The sequence below is a fragment of the Homo sapiens genome, chromosome 20 (assembly GCF_000001405.40).
Source record: "Homo sapiens chromosome 20, GRCh38.p14 Primary Assembly".
NCBI lineage: Eukaryota > Metazoa > Chordata > Mammalia > Primates > Hominidae > Homo > Homo sapiens.
In genome coordinates, this window is record NC_000020.11 from 53880074 (window position 1) to 53897819 (window position 17746).

Below are 17746 nucleotides of genomic sequence, written 5' to 3' on the forward strand. Positions count from 1 at the left end.
TGCTGGAAGGGGTGAGCTGCAATTCTGTTTTCTACTCCATGTCACTCTGGTAAAGATTCTCCATCCCTGCAATTAGAGTTTGATGATTTGCCTTGGCCATGGACTCATTCCTTGGCTGAGGGAGAACAGGCTGTCTTCATTAACACTCTGCTGAGATGGCTGACAATGGTTTGTGAGGGTAGATAATCCGCTCAAGTCGCTGTGTAACCCAAAGAACCCGAAATGAATGCTGGGCTTTTCAAACCCAGCCATTACTCTTCCTTCCTCGTGGTCACCTCCTGTAGAAAGGCTGGAAGTGAAACCTAATTCAGTCTCGATTCTGTCTTTTGCTCCCACTTTTGAGAGCTCATCTTTATTCAGAAGGTGCCTGGTACGGTACCAGGCACGTAGTAGGTGCTTAGCCAGCCAATGGTGGGGCAAATAAATGAATAGAAAAGAAAAACACATCCTCACTGTTTAACAATTGCTCCCTTCACCGAAGCTGCCTAAAAGAAGACTTCCTTCTGCTGGGCTTTTTGAGGAGGTCCAACGAATAGCCCTTTCTTCCCTGCCTGGCTTCTTAAGCAGCTGAGCCATAAGATAGAAGAATAAGCCAAAATGTGGGCCTGGCACGGTGGCTGACGCCTGTAATCCCAGCACTTTGGGAGGCCGAGGCAGGTGGATCACCTGAGGTCAGGAGCTCAAGACCAGCCTGACCAACCAGGTCTCTACCACAAATACAAAAATTAGCTGGGGCATGGTGGCGTGTGCCTGTAATCCCAGCTACTTGGGAGGGTGAGACAGGAGAACTGCTTGAACCCAGGAGACGGAGGTTGCAGCGAGCCAAGATCGCACCACTGCACTCCAGCCTGGGTGACACAGAAAGACTCGCCATCACAAAAAAAAAAAAAAAAAAAAAGCCTGGGTGTGGTGGTTCACGCCTTTAATTCCAGCACTTTGGGAGGCCGAGGTGGGTGGATCACGAGGTCAGGAGATCAAGGCCATCCTGGCTAACACGGTGAAACCCCGTGTTTACTAAAAAAAATACAAAAAAATTTAGCTAGGCGTGGTGGCGGGTGCCTGCAGTCCCAGCTACTCAGAAGCAGGAGAATGGCGTGAAACTGGGAGGCGGAGCTTGCGGTGAGCCGAGATCGTGCCACTGCACTCCAGCCTGGCAGACAGAGTGAGACTCTATCTCAGAAAAAAAAAAAAAAAAAAAAGTCAAAATATCACCTTTATTGCTGAAAAGTCTATAAATATGTGTGGGCCACAGGGCTTGCCAGCACTGACCAGAATTAGGCAACCCCTCCAACTCCAACAGGAACAGAGAACACAAGATCCATGGGCAACTCCCTCCTACCCAAATATACAAGGAGCAGGTGGCAGCTCAGCCGCTTTCTTCTTCCCCAATCTACCAGCCAGATCAATCACTCCTCTTGCAGCATGGAGTGGGGAAGGGGCAGAGACAGGCCAGGAGTTTTAGGAGCTGGGCTTTCTTCTGGGGGAAGATGCCTTTCCTCCCAGCCTCCTGACTAGGCCCCTGTGGGCCTAGGGATGTGCAGAAGGGGTGTTGGCCCCAAGCTGATAAGAATCTACTCTGCAAGTCCTGTTCATTCTCTGTGTGGCTATCTACTGATTACTTTTTCACAGCCTGTGACTAAAAAAATTTCCGTTACCTGAGACATGATATTAAAACGCCTGGTTTTGAAAAGTAGGGTTTGTCAAATGACTGTGAAAGTTCTCTTGCAACAGAAAAGTAAAAATCCCTCAGAAAAGCAAGATCTAATAATTCAAAAAGCAAGATATAATAATAATAATTATTATCATTGACTGGGTGACATCCAAAAGTCAGTTTATCCAATGCCAGGAACTGAAATGTCTGGCCCGCCAGGAGAACAGTGGCTGAGCTCCATGATGCTCCTGAGTTTGAACTTTTGCTCTGCACCTTGTCAGCTGTGTAAACTGAGGCTTGTTACATATGTGTGTGTGTGTGTATATATATATATATAATTACAATTTTTCATGTTCGTAGGTCTATGGTAGGTGTATATACTTATGGTGTGCATTAGATGTTTTGATATAGGCATGCAATGTGTAATAATCACATTATGAAAAATGGAGTATCCATCTCCTCAAGCATTTGTCCTTTGTGTTACAAACAATCCAGTTATACTTTTTTAGTTATTTTGAAATGTACAGTTTAACTATTATTGACTATAGTCACCCTGTTGTGTTATCATATACTAGGTCTTATCCATTCTTTCTAACTTTCTTTGTTCTTTGTACACATTAGCCATCCCCACCTTCCCCCACCCTACCACACCACCCCATCCCCTCTCCCCTGCCACCCAACCCCACACTTCCAGCTTCTGGAAACCATCCTTCTCTTATCTCCATGAGTTCAACTATTTTGATTATTAGATCTCACAAATAAGTGAGAATGTGTGATTTTCGTCTTCCTGTGTCTGGCTTATTTCAGTTAATATGATGACCTCCAATTCCATCCACATCGTTGCAAATAACAGGATCTCATTCTTTTTTATGGCTGAATAGTACTCCATTGAGTATATGTACCAAATTTTCTTGATCCATTCATCTGCTGATGGACACTTAGGTTGCTTCCAAATCTTGGCTATTGTGAACACTGCTGCAACAAACATAGGAGTGCAGATACCTCTTTGATGTTCTGATGTGCATTCTTTTGGACATATACCCAGCAGTGGGATTGCTGGGTCATATGGTAGCTCTATTTTTAGTTTTTTGAGGAACCTCCAAACTGTTCTCCATAATGGTTGTACTAAGGTGCATTTCCACCAACAGTGTATGCGGGATCCCGTTTCTCTACATCCTTGCCGGAATTTGTTATTGCCTGTCTTTTGAATATAAGCCATTTTAACTGGGTTGAGTTGAGATCTCATTGCAGTTTTGATTTTCATTTCTCTGATGATCAGTGATGTTAAGCACCTTTTCATATGCCTATTTGCTATTTGTATGTCTTCTTTTAAGGAATATCTAGTCAAACCTTTTGTCCATTTTGAGTGGGTTATTATATCTTTATATTTTTTATTTTTTTTAGACAGGGTCTTACTCTGTCACAGAGGCTGGAGTGTGGTGACTCAATCATGGCTCACTGCAGCCTCAACCTCCTGGGCTCAGGCGATCTTCCCACCTCCCAAGTAGCTGAGACCACAAGCACAAGCACATGCCACCATGCCCAGCTAATTTTTTCTTGAGATGGGGTTTCACCATGTTTCCCAGGCTGGTCTTGAACTCCTGACCTCAAGTGATTCACCTGCCTCAGCCTCCCAAAGTGCTGAGATCAAAGGCGTGAGCCACCTCACCAGGCCAGATTTTTTTCCTACAGAGTTATTTAAGTTTCTTTTATTTTCTGATTATTAATCCCTTGTCAGATGGGTAGTTTGCAAATATTTTCTCCCATTCTGTGGGCTGTCTCTTCACTATGTTGATTGTTTCCTTTGCTGTGCAAAAGTCTTGTAACTTGATATGATACCATTTGTCAAAGCTTGTTACTTAATCCATCTGGACCTTATTTACACAACTATAAAATAGGGATGGTAATAGCATCCATTCCTTAGGCTTTTTAGTGGCGATTAATTGAAGATATATATGCATTTCAAACACACACACACACACTAGTGCCTGGCATATAGTAAGTTCCTAATAAATGTGGTTGATACTGTTATATGATTTGTATTATTGGTGATGATAGTTGGGGTCCTTGGGTCACCATGAAATATAAGTTATTCACTCTTATTATCCCCGTTGTCTATTTGCTAATGTGCAACAGAAGTGCACTGGGATGCCGGGTGTGGTGGCTCATGCCTATAATCCCAGCACTTTGGGAGGCCGAGGCGGGCAGATCACTTGAGGTCAGGAGTTTGAGACCAGCCTCGCCATCATGGTGAAACCCCTTCTCTACAAAAAATAATAAAAAAAGAAAAATTACCCAGGCATGGTGGCACATGCTTGTAACCCCAGCTACTTGGGAGGCTAGGGCGCGAGAGTCACTTGAACCTGGGAAGCAATTGTGCCAAGATTGCACCACTGCACTCCAGCCTGGGTGAGAGCGAGACTCTATCTCAAAAAAAAAAGTGCCCTGGGAGAGCAGTCTGGGAGTCCAAGTTCAAATCCAATCTCTGGTGTTTTCTACTATGTGATAATTGGCAAGGTCACTAAGCTTCTTTGAGCCTCAGTTTCCTTGCCAGTTATGAGTGACAAAGAATCAGAGGAAAGATCAATTTGACCTTGGAACAGGAACTTTGTGCTCCCTGGAGCATTCTTTCCTTCCGGCTTTTCTTTAGTTAATACCTGTTCAGCTGGCTGCTGCCTCTGTAGGGGAGCCCTCCACAACCTCCTAGACAGAGTCAACTCCCCTGCTCTTATCCCATTGTGTCTATTCACTTGCTCCACAAATTTTAATGAGCAACTACCTTCCAGACACTGCTCTAAGGTCAGAGTGATGAACAAGCAAAACGTGGCCTTGGGCTTTCTAAATTGGGAAGAAAAAGTCAAGGGACTCTCCTACAATATCGTGTTCTCCAAGGTGACCTTCTCTCCCCAGGTGGGCTTGTTCTAGGTTGTGGACATGATCCACATGCTCCAGACCTAGGAACACACACACACACACACACACACACACACACACACATTCACTTACCTTCTCCCTAGACTAGAAACCTTGTAAACCTACATATCGGTTTCTAGCTGAGAATACATTGAATTTCCCCAAAAATGTTCTCCCAGCCTCAGGACTCCTCTGCACCCCAGACTGAGATTATTCAGAGGCGTTACTTAGCCTCTTCTGAGAGCTCCTTTCTGAACATTATGGTGTTAGAGGAGCACCAAGGCTCTGACTCAATCTACTAAGAGGTGGGGTTCACTGAGGGGCTCCACCACAGGCAAACAAGTGCAGGAAACAGCATAAAACCAAACCAACCAGAAGTAGATAGGTCATTTCCTTTCTCACTCCTGTCTGGGATGCCTTTGGCAAGCTTCACTGGGAAAGGAGGAGCCAGAGAGCTGAGCTATTAACACACCTGAGTGTCCTCACTCTGCCACTTAGTACCAGCGTGGCCTCAGGCGAGGAGCTAACTCATTTTAGGCCTTGGTTGCTTCATCTGTAAAATGGGATGATGGTGTTGACTTCATAAGATCAACATGCGTGCTAATGGTGATAACACACGACAAGTGTTCACTATTATGCTTGCAGCATAACTGCTGAATAAATATGAGCTACTATTACTATTAGGATGCATGCCATTCTTCTTACATAAGAGAAAGACAAAAGTGGTTTGATGAAAATACGTAACGAATAAAATACACGGAATATATGATTCTTCTCTCCCCCCCACCACGCTCCCCCACCCACATGGCTGACTCATGTCACTTTTGAGATCACGGTGGAAATGTCATCTCCTGAGAGAAGGCTGTCCTTTGAGGCAGTTATTCCCAACCTTGGCTGCACACTGAAACACCTGGGGAGCTTTTCCAAATAATGGTGCTGGTTCAACCCCCAGAGGTGCTGCCTGGATGTGGACTTTTTTTTTTTTGAGATGGAGTCTTGCTCTGTTGCCAGGCTGGAGTGCAGTGGCACAATCTCAGCTCACTGCAACCTCTGCCTCCCGGTTTCAAGCGATTCTCCTGCCTCAGCCTCCCAAGTAGCTGGGATTACAGGCATGCGCCACCTCGCCCCGTTAATTTTTGTATTTTTAGTAGAGACGGGGTTTCAGCATGTTGGCCAGGATGGTCTTGATCTCTTGACCTCGTGATCCGCTTGCCTCAGCCTCCGAAAGTGCTGGGATTACAGGCGTGAGCCACCGCGTCCAGCAAGGATTTGGAGATTTTTAAGTGCTCCCAGGGAGCTCTAGCGTTTAGCCCAGCTGGAGAGTCACTACTGCTTTTAGAGGCAGTGTAGCGTGGTAACTGAAAGCACAGCCCTGGAGCCAGACTTCTCAGGTTCGAATCCTGATTCTATGGCTCACTAGCTATATAACTTTGGGCAAGTTATCAAAACTCTTAAGGCCTCAGTTTCTTCATATGTAAAATGGGTATAACGATCATAACAGACCTATCTCACAGTGTTGTGAAGACTAAATGAATTAATATATGGCATAGACTTAGTGTTGGAAAGACACGGAGTGTTCACCAAAAATAAAATTTGAAGGCCCTCCCTGCCTTCCCACCATCTGGATGGACCCCCTTCCTCAGCCAGTGCACTCCAAATTTAACCTGAAAGGCTGGTTCAGGCCATGACAGGAAAGAGGGGGAGGTTGGACATGCCTCATTATGCCCTCCTCCCTTTTGTAATTCAAGAAAGCCAATGAGCATTTAACATCAACATAGACCTTAAGTCTGATAAGAAACATTTACAATCTATTCTCTCTGAAGCCTGCTACCTGGAGGCTTCATTTGCATGAGAAAACTTTGGCCTCTGCAACCGCTGATTGTAGCCCAGATATTCCTTTCTATGGATAATAACTTTTTCAACCAATTGCCAACCAGAAAATTCTATTTTTAAAAATTTTTATTTATTTATTTGTTTGTTTATTTATTTATTTATTTTTCAGACAGAGTCTCACTCTTGTCACCCAGGCTGGAGTGCTGTGGCACGATCTTGGCTCACTTCAACCTCCGCCTCCCAGGTTCAAGCGATTCTCCTGCCTCAGCCTCCTGAGTAGCTGGGATTACAGGCGCCTGCCATCATATCCGGCTAATTTTTGGACTTCTAGTAGAGACGGGATTTCACCATGGTGGCCAGGCTGGTTTCGAACTCCTGACCTCAGGTGTTCCGCCCACCTCGGCCTCCCAAAGTGCTGGGATTACAGGCGTGAGCCATCGCGCCCGGCCGCCAGTCAGAAAATTTAAAAATCTACCTATCAAGATATCAAAATCTACCTTTCCAGCACTAAGTCTGTGTCATATATTAATTCATTTAGTCTTCATAACACTAAGAGATAGGTTTGTTATTATCATAGGTAGAACCTGGAACCACCTTCCCCTCACCCCGCTTAAAGTTGTCCCATTTTTCTGGACTGAACCAATGTATATCTTACATGTATTTGATGTCTTATATCCCCTAGAATATAAAAGCCGAGCTGTGCCCTGTCCACCTTGGGCATATGTTCTCGTGGTCTCTCAAGGGTGCTGTCATGGGTCATGGTCACTCACATTTGGCTCAGAATAAATCTCTTAAAAAATTTCACAGAGTTTGACTCTTGTTGTTGACAATAGCGAGGTCTTTAGTTTTAATTCCTTTTTTATTTTAATTTTAAATACATTTTTATTGTGGTAGAATATACATAACATAAAATTTACCATTGTAGCCATTAATAAGTGCACAACTCGGCGGGGCGCGGTGGCTCACGCCTATAATCCCAGCACTTTGGGAGGCCGAGGCGGGCAGATCACAAGGTCAGGAGATCGAGACCACGGTGAAACCCCGTCTCTACTAAAAATACAAAAAAATTAGCCGGGCACAGTGGCGGCGCCTGTAGTCCCAGCTACTAGGGAGGCTGAGGCAGGAGAATGGCGTGAACCCGGGAAGCGGAGCTTGCACTGAGCCGAGATCGCGCCACTGCACTCCAGCCTTGGCGACAAAGCGAGACTCCGTCTCAAAAAAAAAAAAAAAAAAAAAGTGCACAACTCAATGGGATTCAATGCATTTCCAATGTTGGATGACCAACACCACCATCCATTGCCAACACTTTTTCATCATCCCAAACAGAAACTCTGTACTCCTTAAATAACAACCCCCCATTCTCCCCAGCAGTCCCCGAGCCTCTATTGTACTTTCTGTCTCTGTAAATTTGTCTGTTCTATGTACCTCATAAAAATGGAATCATAGAATATTTTTCTCTTGGGTTTGGTTTATTTCACTTGGCATAATGTTTTCAGGTTTCATCTATGTCATAGCATGGATCAGAATTCCACGCTTCTTATGGCTGAGTAATATTCCATTGTATGCACGTACCTGTTTATGCATTTATCTGTTGATGGAATGTGGCTGTTTCTACCCTTTGGCTATTGCAAATATGTGCTATGAGCATTGCTGTAAAAAAGTATCTGTTTGGTTGGGCGCTGTGGCTCACGCCTGTAAACCCAGCACTTTGTGGGGCTGAAGTGGGCGGATTACCTGAGGTCGGGAGCTCCAGACCAGCCTGACCAACATGGTGAAGCCCTGTGTCTACTAAAAATACAAAAATTAGCCAGGTATAATGGCGGGCACCTGTAATCCCAGCTACTCGGGAGGTTGAGGCAGGAGAATCGCTTGAACCAGGGAGGCGGAGGTTGCAGTGAGCTGAGATCCCACCACTGCACTCCAGCCTGGGTAACAGAGCGAGACTCTGTCTCAAAGAAAAAAAAAAAAGTATCTGTTTGATACCTTTAATTATTTGGGTTTATACCTACAAGTGGAATTGCTGGGTCATGTGGTATTCTCTTTAATTTTTTTGTTTTCCTCAGTGGCTGCATCATTTTACATTTGCTCCAGCAATAGACAAAGGTTCCAATTTCTCTACATCCTCACCAACACTCATTATTTTTGGTATCTCATTGTGGTTTAGTTATAATTCCTTTTGATCTCATCCAAAGCAGATTACCCACTACCTGTCATCCTCTCACCCACAGAACGCAACTCTTTGCTTCCATGCTGGTATCACAGCGTGGCCTCGTGTTTGTTGAACGTTTGCCTTGCTGAGCAGCCCAGGAGTTGGCAAACTGTGGCCTGGGGCTGCAGGTGAAACCTGGTGGCTGCTTGTTTTTGTATAGTCCACAACCTAAAGATGGTTTTTATATTTTTAACTGGTTAAAAAAAAAAAAAAGAAAAAGAATATTTTGTGAAATATAAAAACTATATAAAATTCAAATTTCATTGTTTATGAATACTCTTATTGGAACACAGCCATGCTTACATATTTAGGTACTGCCCATGGCTGCTTTTGCCTTAGAAGGCAGAATAGAGTAGTGGCAACAGGGGCTGTATGGCCTGTAGAGCCTAAAATATTCACCATGTGGCCCTTTAGAGAAAAGGTTTGCTGAACCCTGCACTGGACCCTGAACTCAGGGACAGTGATCCTGCCGTCTCCAGGGTGCCTGGCCATTGGTAGGAAATTAACAAATAGTCATCGTATTGGTTCATTCTCTCATACTAACTCCAGACACAAAAATAAATTTGAGTTAGATCAGAGAACTAAATATAAACTTAGAGTATTCTAGAAGAAAACATAGAATAATATTGTCGTAGGCTTGGGTTAGGCAATGATTTCTTAGGACACAAAAAGCACTAACCATCAAATAAAATAAATAAATTGGTCAACATTAAATTTTTAAGCTTTGTTCATCCAAAGATACTACAGACCAATCTGGAACCTGCCACATGTACCAAAATCCATGTATACTCAAGTTCCCCAGTCGGTTCTGTGGAATCTGAGTATATGAAAAGTCAGCCCTCTGTTTTGCAACCTGAAAATACTGTATTTTCGATTTGCAGTTGGTTAAAAAAAATCTACGTATAAGTGGAACCACACAGTTCAAACCTGTGTTGTTCAAGGGTCAACTGTATTAGGAGAATAAGTAGACAAGCCACAGATTGGGGGAAAATTTTGCATATGTGATAACTTGTATCCAAAGTATATAAAGAACTACAAATAATAATACAAAGATAAACACAACTTTTAAAAATGAGCAAAAGACATCGAAGTGCAATTTAAAACCACAATGAGATACAATTTCATGCATATTAGAAGAGCGAAAAAACAAAAACAAAAAAGGAAACAAATGTTGGTGAAGATGAAGAGTAACCAGAAGGCTGGTTCATTGCTAAAGGGTGTACAACTGTCTGGCAGTTTCTTATAGACTCTACTCTTACGTATTACCCAAGAGAAATGAAAACCTGTGTCTACACAAAGACTTATTCATGAATATGCGTAGCAGCTTTATTCATAATAGCCACAAACCGGAAACAACCCAAATGGCATTAATAGCAAAATAGATTTTTTAAAAATTATTTTATTTTATTTTTTCGAGACAGAGTCTTGCTCTCTTGCCCAAGCTGGAGTGCGGTGGCATGCTCTTGGCTTACTGCAACCTCTGCCTCACAGGTTCAAGCAATTCTCCTGCCTCAGCCTCCTGAGTAGCTGGGACTACAGGCGCCTGCCACCCCGACTGACTAATTTTTGTATTTTTAGTAGAGACAGGGCTTTGCCATGTTGGCCAAGCTGGTCTCAAACTCCTGACCTCAGGTGATTCACCCGCCTCGGCCTCCCAAAATGCTGGGATTATAGGCATGAGCCACCGCATCCAGCTGCAAAATAGATTTTTTAAAAATGAGGTCTATCTATACAGTGAAATATGATTATTCAGTAAGAAAATGGAACAGACAGTCCATGCAACAACATGAATGAATCTCAAAATCACGTAGAGTGGAAGAAGACAGACATGAAGGAGCACAGTCTGAATTATTCCATTTCTATGAAATTACAGGAAAGATTAATCTATAGCAACCAAAAGCAGGTTAGTCATTGCCTCTGGGGGGTGGGGCATGGGGCTTGGCATTGCTTAACAAACAGCCCATGGTGCTTTCTGGGCTAAAGGACACATTCCCTTACTTGTTTTGGGTGGATGTTAATTACAGGGGGGTATATCATTCTCAAAACTCAGAACTGAACACTTAAGATCTGTGCTTTTATTGTATGTACATTATGCTTCCTTTTAGATAATGGGAGAGGAACAGCTGCCCTTGAAAGGTGACAAAATATTCCTTCATAGATGGACAGTGTCCAAGTGTCAGCCCCCATTCTGGCCTTGGTGAGCCCAGTTGGATTGTGAAGGAAACGGAGAAAGCATGGTGCCCTGATGTCTGTCCACTGCGAATGGCGTTTCCTGTTTTAACCAGACTTCTCTTGTGAAGGAAAAAATAGCCATCACTCCATGAGCCCTTCAATTGCCAGTCTAGAAGGCCATTTCCTGGCCTTGCGAAAAAACGACAGCACCCTCTGCCCAGCCTAGAACATCTTCTACCTGCTGGGCCCTGCTGGTGGCTGGGGCCCATCTGAATGCAATCACTTGTTTGTCCCTGGCCAGGGAGAACATCCTTCCAGCAGCCTTGCCTGGATCTGCTGAGTGAGCACCCAGGCTCCCAACACTGCAGGGGAGGGGGAGAAGCAGAAGCAGTGATTGTCTCTACTTTTATTTTTAGATGATCAGTGAGACAAAGCTGCCTGCATGAGGCAAGTTGTCAAGACCTCTGACTTCCTTATGGATCTGAAGCCAGCTTCTCAGTCTTCTCTCATTGTATCAGTTTCCTATGGCTTAAGGATAACAAATGTCCTTAAGCACTAAGTGGCTTAAAACAACACAAATGCATTAGCTTACAGTTCCAGAGGTCAGAAGTCCAACACAAGTCTCATGCAGCTAAAATCAAGGTTTTGCCAGTTCCTTCTGGATGTACAAGAGGAGAATCTGTTTCCTTGCCTTTTCCAGCCTTAGAGGCTGCCCACATTCCTTGGCTCATGGCCTCTTCTCCACTGAAAGCCAGCAGCGTTGGCTCTCTCTGTGCCTTTCTTCTAGAGTCACATTTCTTTCTGACTACTTGACTGTCTTCTTCTTCCACTTTTAAGGACCTATGAGATTACACTGGGCCACTTGGATAATCCAAGCTGAACTCCTTATTTTAAGGTTAGCTGATGAGTCAAGCTAATTCTGTTTACAATCTTAATTCCCTCTTGCCATGCAAGGGAACACAGTCATAGGTTTTGGGAATTAGGATGTGGATATTTTTAGAGAGCCATTGTTCTGCTGATTGCACTCCCTGATGTTCAAGTCCAACTTTAACTCATAAGCTCCTTACTCTCTTAAAATGGCCCTAGGTTGATAGTTTGGTTCCAAGACTTATAAGGTGTGTGGATAATGGTAACAGCAACAGCAATAATTACAGCAACCATACACCAAGAACATGCTATGAAGCAGGCACAGGAGACACATGATATCATCTGATCCCTGTAGGACCTGATGGAGTAGGCATCATCATCCCTATTATAGATGGGGAAACCGAGGCCTGGGCAGTATAAATAATGAGCCCAAGGTTACTCGGCTTTTAGATGGCAGATTCAAGATTGGAACTATAGCTTGCCTGACTTTAACGACTTCCGTCCTGACAGCAAATGACTAAATAGCAAACCTCTACCCTGTCTCCAAGTCAAGCTTCCTCTGAGCAGAGATTTTAGATGAGGAATAGAGATGATGTCTGTCCAATGCTTAGTGCAAAAGAGAACCCAAGACATGGAAGTTTAGTTAGGTAGCTTAAAAACAATATTATTGGCCTGGCGCAGTGGCTCATGCCTGTAATCCCAGCACTTTGGCAGGCTGAGGTGGGCAGATCACCTAAGGTCAGTAGTTCAAGACCAGCCTGGCCAACATGGTGAAATCTCATCTCTACTAAAAATACAAAAATTAGCTGGGTATGGTGGTGGGTACCTGTAATCCCAGCTACTTGGGAGGCTGAGGCAGGAGAATCACTTGAACCCAGGAGGCAGAGGTTGCAGTGAGCTGTGATTGTGCCACTGCACTCCAGCCTGGGTGACAGGGCAAGACTCTGTCTCAAAAAAATAAAAAATAAAAATAATATTGTTGCCTCTATCTCCCCTTTCCCTTTCCCCTTCTCTTTCCCTCCCCTCCCCTCCCCTCCCCTCCCCTCCCTTCCCCTCCCTTCTCCTCCCCCTCCCTTCCCCTCCCTTCTCCTCCCCCTCCCTTCCCCTCCCCTCTCCCTTCCCCTCCCCTCCCCTCCTCTCCCTGGCATCTTTTAAAGTGGGTGACAATGGGGTAAGGGTTTAGATCTAGGCTCTAAGTTTAGGCTACCCAGGTTCAACTTCTAATATTGTCACATTAGCTGCTTCCACTTGGGTCCACCTCACCCCTGTAAGCCTCAAGTTCCTCCTCATTTGTAAAAATCGTAGTGTGATACTATCTGCCTTGCCAAGTGCTGGGTGGATTAGAAACAATCATGCATGCATAGCACACGGTAAACGATCACTATTAAGCCACTCCCACATGTCCATTATTGAAGCAGGTGGTGTGAACAAGAGAGGCATGTATGGTCTTTGTTCACAAGCATCTCTCCCTCTCTCCCTCAGCCTTTCTTTCTCTGTCTTTTACACACACACACACACACACACACACACACACACACACACCAGTTAATGACATCAAGGGGGAAGTTAGGAAAGATGAAAAATTGGAGACCAAGACGGTCATAACATGGTTCTAATTTGTGGTTAAGAAATTCATGAAGGAATAGGTCAATGTGTACCCAGAGAAAGGAAAGATTCACTTATGAAGAACGTGGGAGTGAATCACAAGACTGTCACTGTCTGCAACCCTTGAAGGGGCCCCTTGACCATCTTGCTGGGCGATTTGAATCACCAGATGTGGTCTACCACAGTGTCTCTCATGCCGCTGCTCACATATGAACTTCATGATTTTTGCCATATCTCTTGCTGCCTTGTTTAGTGTTGACTTAAGATTTTTCTTTCATTATTTGGATATTGACTACACTGACATAAAAAGGAAACTTTATGTCACTATGGTAAATGGGAGGCTGATTTTCTTGCCACAGATAGAAACTGTGAAAAAAATACATACCGTTTTTTTTTTTAAAGAATGCTTTTTTTAAACTTTTTTTTTAGGTTCAGGGGTACACGTGCGGGTTTGTTATATAGGTAAATTGTGTGTCATGGGGTTTTGGTGTACAGATTATTTTGCCACCCAGGTAATAAGTATAGTACGAATAGGTAGTTTTTCCATCCTCTCCCCACCCCACCCTCCACCCTTAAGTATATATGTGTTCATGAAAATACACAACTATTAAAAGTAATACAGCCAGGTGCAGTGGCTCATGCCCGTAACCCCAGCACTTTGGGAGGCCGAGGCGAGCGGATCACCTGAAGTCAGGAGTTTGAGATCAGCCTGGCCAACATGGTGAAACCTCGTCTCTACTAAAAATACCAAAATTAGCCGGGCGTGGTGGCGTGCGTCTGTAATCCCAGCTACTCGGGAGGCTGAAGCAGAAGAATTGCTTGAACCCACGAGGCAGAGGTTGCAGTGAGCCAAGATCGCATCACTGCACTCCAGCCTGGGCAACAGAGCGAGACTCCACCACAAAAAAAAAAAAAAGAAAAAAAAGTAATACATAATGTTGCCGATAGCTCTCTGAATACCCTTCTGTATCCCACCAGTGTTTGGTATAACATACTTCAGGGTGCACCACTCTTGCAGAAAAAGCTGAAAATTCTGTATCTTTAGTTATTTGATTTTTTTTTTGTTTTAGAAATGGGGTCTGGCTCTGTCACCCAGGCTGGAGTGCAATGGTGCCATCATGGCGCACTGCTGCCTGAATGTCCTGCACTCAAGCTATCTTCCTGCCTCAATCTCCCTAGTAGCTGGGACTACAAGGCGTGAGCCAACACGCTGGCTGGATTTCTGCATCTTTAGGTTCTTAATCCTTAACCTTTTTGCTTCTCAGTTTCTCATCATTAGAATGGGGCTGTTTCACTGTGCACAGTGTCTCACACCTGTAATCTCAGCACTTTGGGAAGCCAAGGCGGGAGAATCTCTTGAGGCCAGGAGTTTGAGATCAGCCTGGGCAACAAATCAAGATCTCCATCTCTACAAAAAATTTAGCCAGGCATGGTGGTGTGTGCCTGTAGTCTTAGCTATTGAGGAGGCTGAGGCAGGAAGATCACTTGAGCCCAGGAAGTTGAGACTGCAGTGAGCTGTGACCACACCACTGCACTCCAGCCTCGGCAACAGAGCAAGACCCTGTCTCAAAAAAAAAAAAAAAAAAAAGAGTGAGGATGTTTATAAAAAGAGTCATTATTATTGAGAAATGACTGAGCTGAGCATTTTGCACCCATTCGTTAATATAGCCTTCATAAAGTTTCCATAATGATGTGGTATTATTGAGGTGGTATCTATGAGGCCACCGAGGCACAAAGAGGTAGTTTTGTTCTGTCACACAGCTTGTCACTGCAAGGAGTGCGAACCCAAGACCATCTGAACATGAAGCCTTGACATCCTGCAGTCCTGCCTCTCTGTGCTAGCCACTTCATGGGGGCTGAGAGCAGCCGAATTAACTAACGATGAAGAAGATGCACTGGGGATAAAGAGGAGAGGCTACTTACTGGTGCTTGCCGTGGGCCAGAGACTCCTGGAAGTACTTTTTCTGTATCAACTCATCTCATCCTCATCATAGACGTATAATGGAAGTCTTAGTATTATTCCCATTTTACAAATAAGGATGTTGAGGTACAGAACCTTTAATTAACTTGCATCCAGTAAGTGCTGAACCTGAATTGGAACCTAAGGGGTCTGGTTCCAGAGCCTGTCCCCCAACCTGATAAAGGCATCACACAGATGGTACAACTGTTTATATCATCACCGGTGACAGTTTCAACTCTGCAACTGAAGACTTATCTGTCTGCCTCAGGCTCTTATTTAGCCCCTGCCTGGCCCTACCTTGCTTGATTTCTTTTTTATTATAAGATGGAATTCAGATGACGTGAGCCTTCTAAGGAATTAACTTTGTGGCAGGAAGGTGCTCATTCGTTCATTCACCTAACCAACATAATTGGTGTCTAGCTATGCAAGACACTGCACTGTGTGTCAACAAAACAGGAAAGCGGTTGTGTGTGATGGTTCAGATGGGAGACACAACAACCACACAGACCCAAGATCCACACCCCACATCCATATTCGTTAGCTTGCAGGAGTTCTGGTCTGAACTTCTCCAAGCATCTGTTTCCTCATTCTTATTCCTATAAAATAAGATGACTAAACTTGTCCATAATTTATTTTTTTCCTATAATTTTTTTTTTTTTTTTTGAGATGGAGTCTTGCTCTGTCACCCAGGCTGGAGTGCAGTGGCGTGATCTCGGCTCACTGCAACCTCCACCTCCAGGGTTCAAACAATTCTCCTGCCTCAGCCTCCCAAGTAGCTTGGATTACAGGCAGACACCACCATGCCAAGCTAATTTTATTATTTTTGTAGAAACGGGGTTTCACCATGTTGACCAGGCTGGTCTTGAACTCCTAACCTCAAGTAATTTGCCCATCTTGGCCTCCCAAAGTGCTGGTATTATAGGCGTGAGCCACCGCGCCTGGCCTTTTTCCATAATTTACTTTTTGAAGAGAATGTTCTAGGTGGATGTTTACTGTATACATACCTTCTTAATTGATTGTCTTCTGTTGAGTAGGAGAGTATCGTTATAATTTTCACCTTCCTATCCCCCTGATTATAAAAATAATACAGGCCCACAATCCTGTATCCCCGACCCAGGGGCCAGATGCATTTTGTAAGCCAAATTTTTTGCGCTTTTAGATGCATTTTGTTTACACTAAATGTCAAATAATACATGAATACCTCTTCAGAGAAATGTATGGATAGTCACACCACCTGAGAACATTAAAGACTTCATGGAAACTCAGAAGAATCCATATTTTGCTGGCGAATGAACTGTGTGGATTTTGGAATTATAGGTAAGGGATTATTAATGGGACCTGCATATGCTTGTGGTGGCAAATTTGGAAAAATACAGTGAAGTATTAAAAAGAAAGTAATCACATTAAAAAGAAATAACAATTGGAATTTTCATGTATGTTTTCTAATTCGTTGAATTATTCAACAATATCATTGATCCTCTATTAGATGTTCTAGGGCAGTGGTTTTCAAAGGTGAAATTTTGTCCCCCGAGGGGATTTAGCAATATCTGGAGACATTTTGGTTGTCACATCTAGAGCCAGCTGCTAGTAGGTAGAGTTGGCATTTAGTAGGTAGAGTTGGCATTTAGTAGGTAGAGTTGAGGATGCTGTTAAACATCCTACAATGCATAGAACAGCCTTCACGACAGAGAATTATCCAGCCCCAAATGTCAATAGTGCCATGATTAAGAAGATTAAGAAATCTCGGCTAGACTTTAGACATACAGTAATGAATAAAACAATTAAAAGTTAATATATTTACTATATATTTATAACATATATATGATGTATGCACACACAGAAAAATATAAGGGTTTTAAAATGTGGTATTATTCCATATATAGTTTTTTTTTTTTACTTAACATTGCTTCATGAATGTTTTACGATATCAAAAACTCTTCAAACACATCATTTTTATGCCTATAGAATATTGCTTCAGAAAGAAATGAAATTATTTTTAGCCATTTCTTTACATAAAAATTGATTTTGCTTTCTTTATTTAAAATAATGCCATGATGAACATCCTTATATTTACATTGTTTTATGACATCTCTGATTATTTCATTGGGTTCTCAGGCTGACAGCTCATTCTAGAGTAGGGTTATTGAGTCAAAGGGTACAAACTTTAAAACATCCTTAGTGTATGTGATAAAATTGCTTTGCAGAAAGGTTGTTCCAAGTTTTACTTGGTGCAGGAGTTTACATTAAAAATCAGAGACTTAGGGTACCAAATAAACATAGCTAGGGCTGGGCGTTGGTGGCTCACACCTGTAATCCCAGCACTTTGGGAGGCCAAGGTGGGTGGATCACGAGGTCAAGATATCAAGACCATCCTGGCCAACGTGGTGAAACCCCGTCTGTAGTAAAAATACAAAAATTAGCCAGGCGTGGTGGCGTGTGCCTGTAGTCCCAGCTACTTGGGAGGCTGAGGCAGGAGAATTGCTTGAACCTGGGAGGTGGAGGTTGCAATGAGCTGAGATCTCGCCACTGCACTCCA

The 17746-nt window shown here is 43.5% G+C and overlaps 1 annotated feature.

The window, feature by feature from the left end:
* Nucleotides 5143-5343: a silencer, noted in NCBI's record as "peak4276 fragment used in MPRA reporter construct". NCBI's record gives its function as "represses an SCP1 promoter by STARR-seq MPRAs in K562 erythroleukemia cells {active_cell/tissue: K562}" and the evidence as "EXISTENCE:reporter gene assay evidence [ECO:0000049][PMID:32103011]".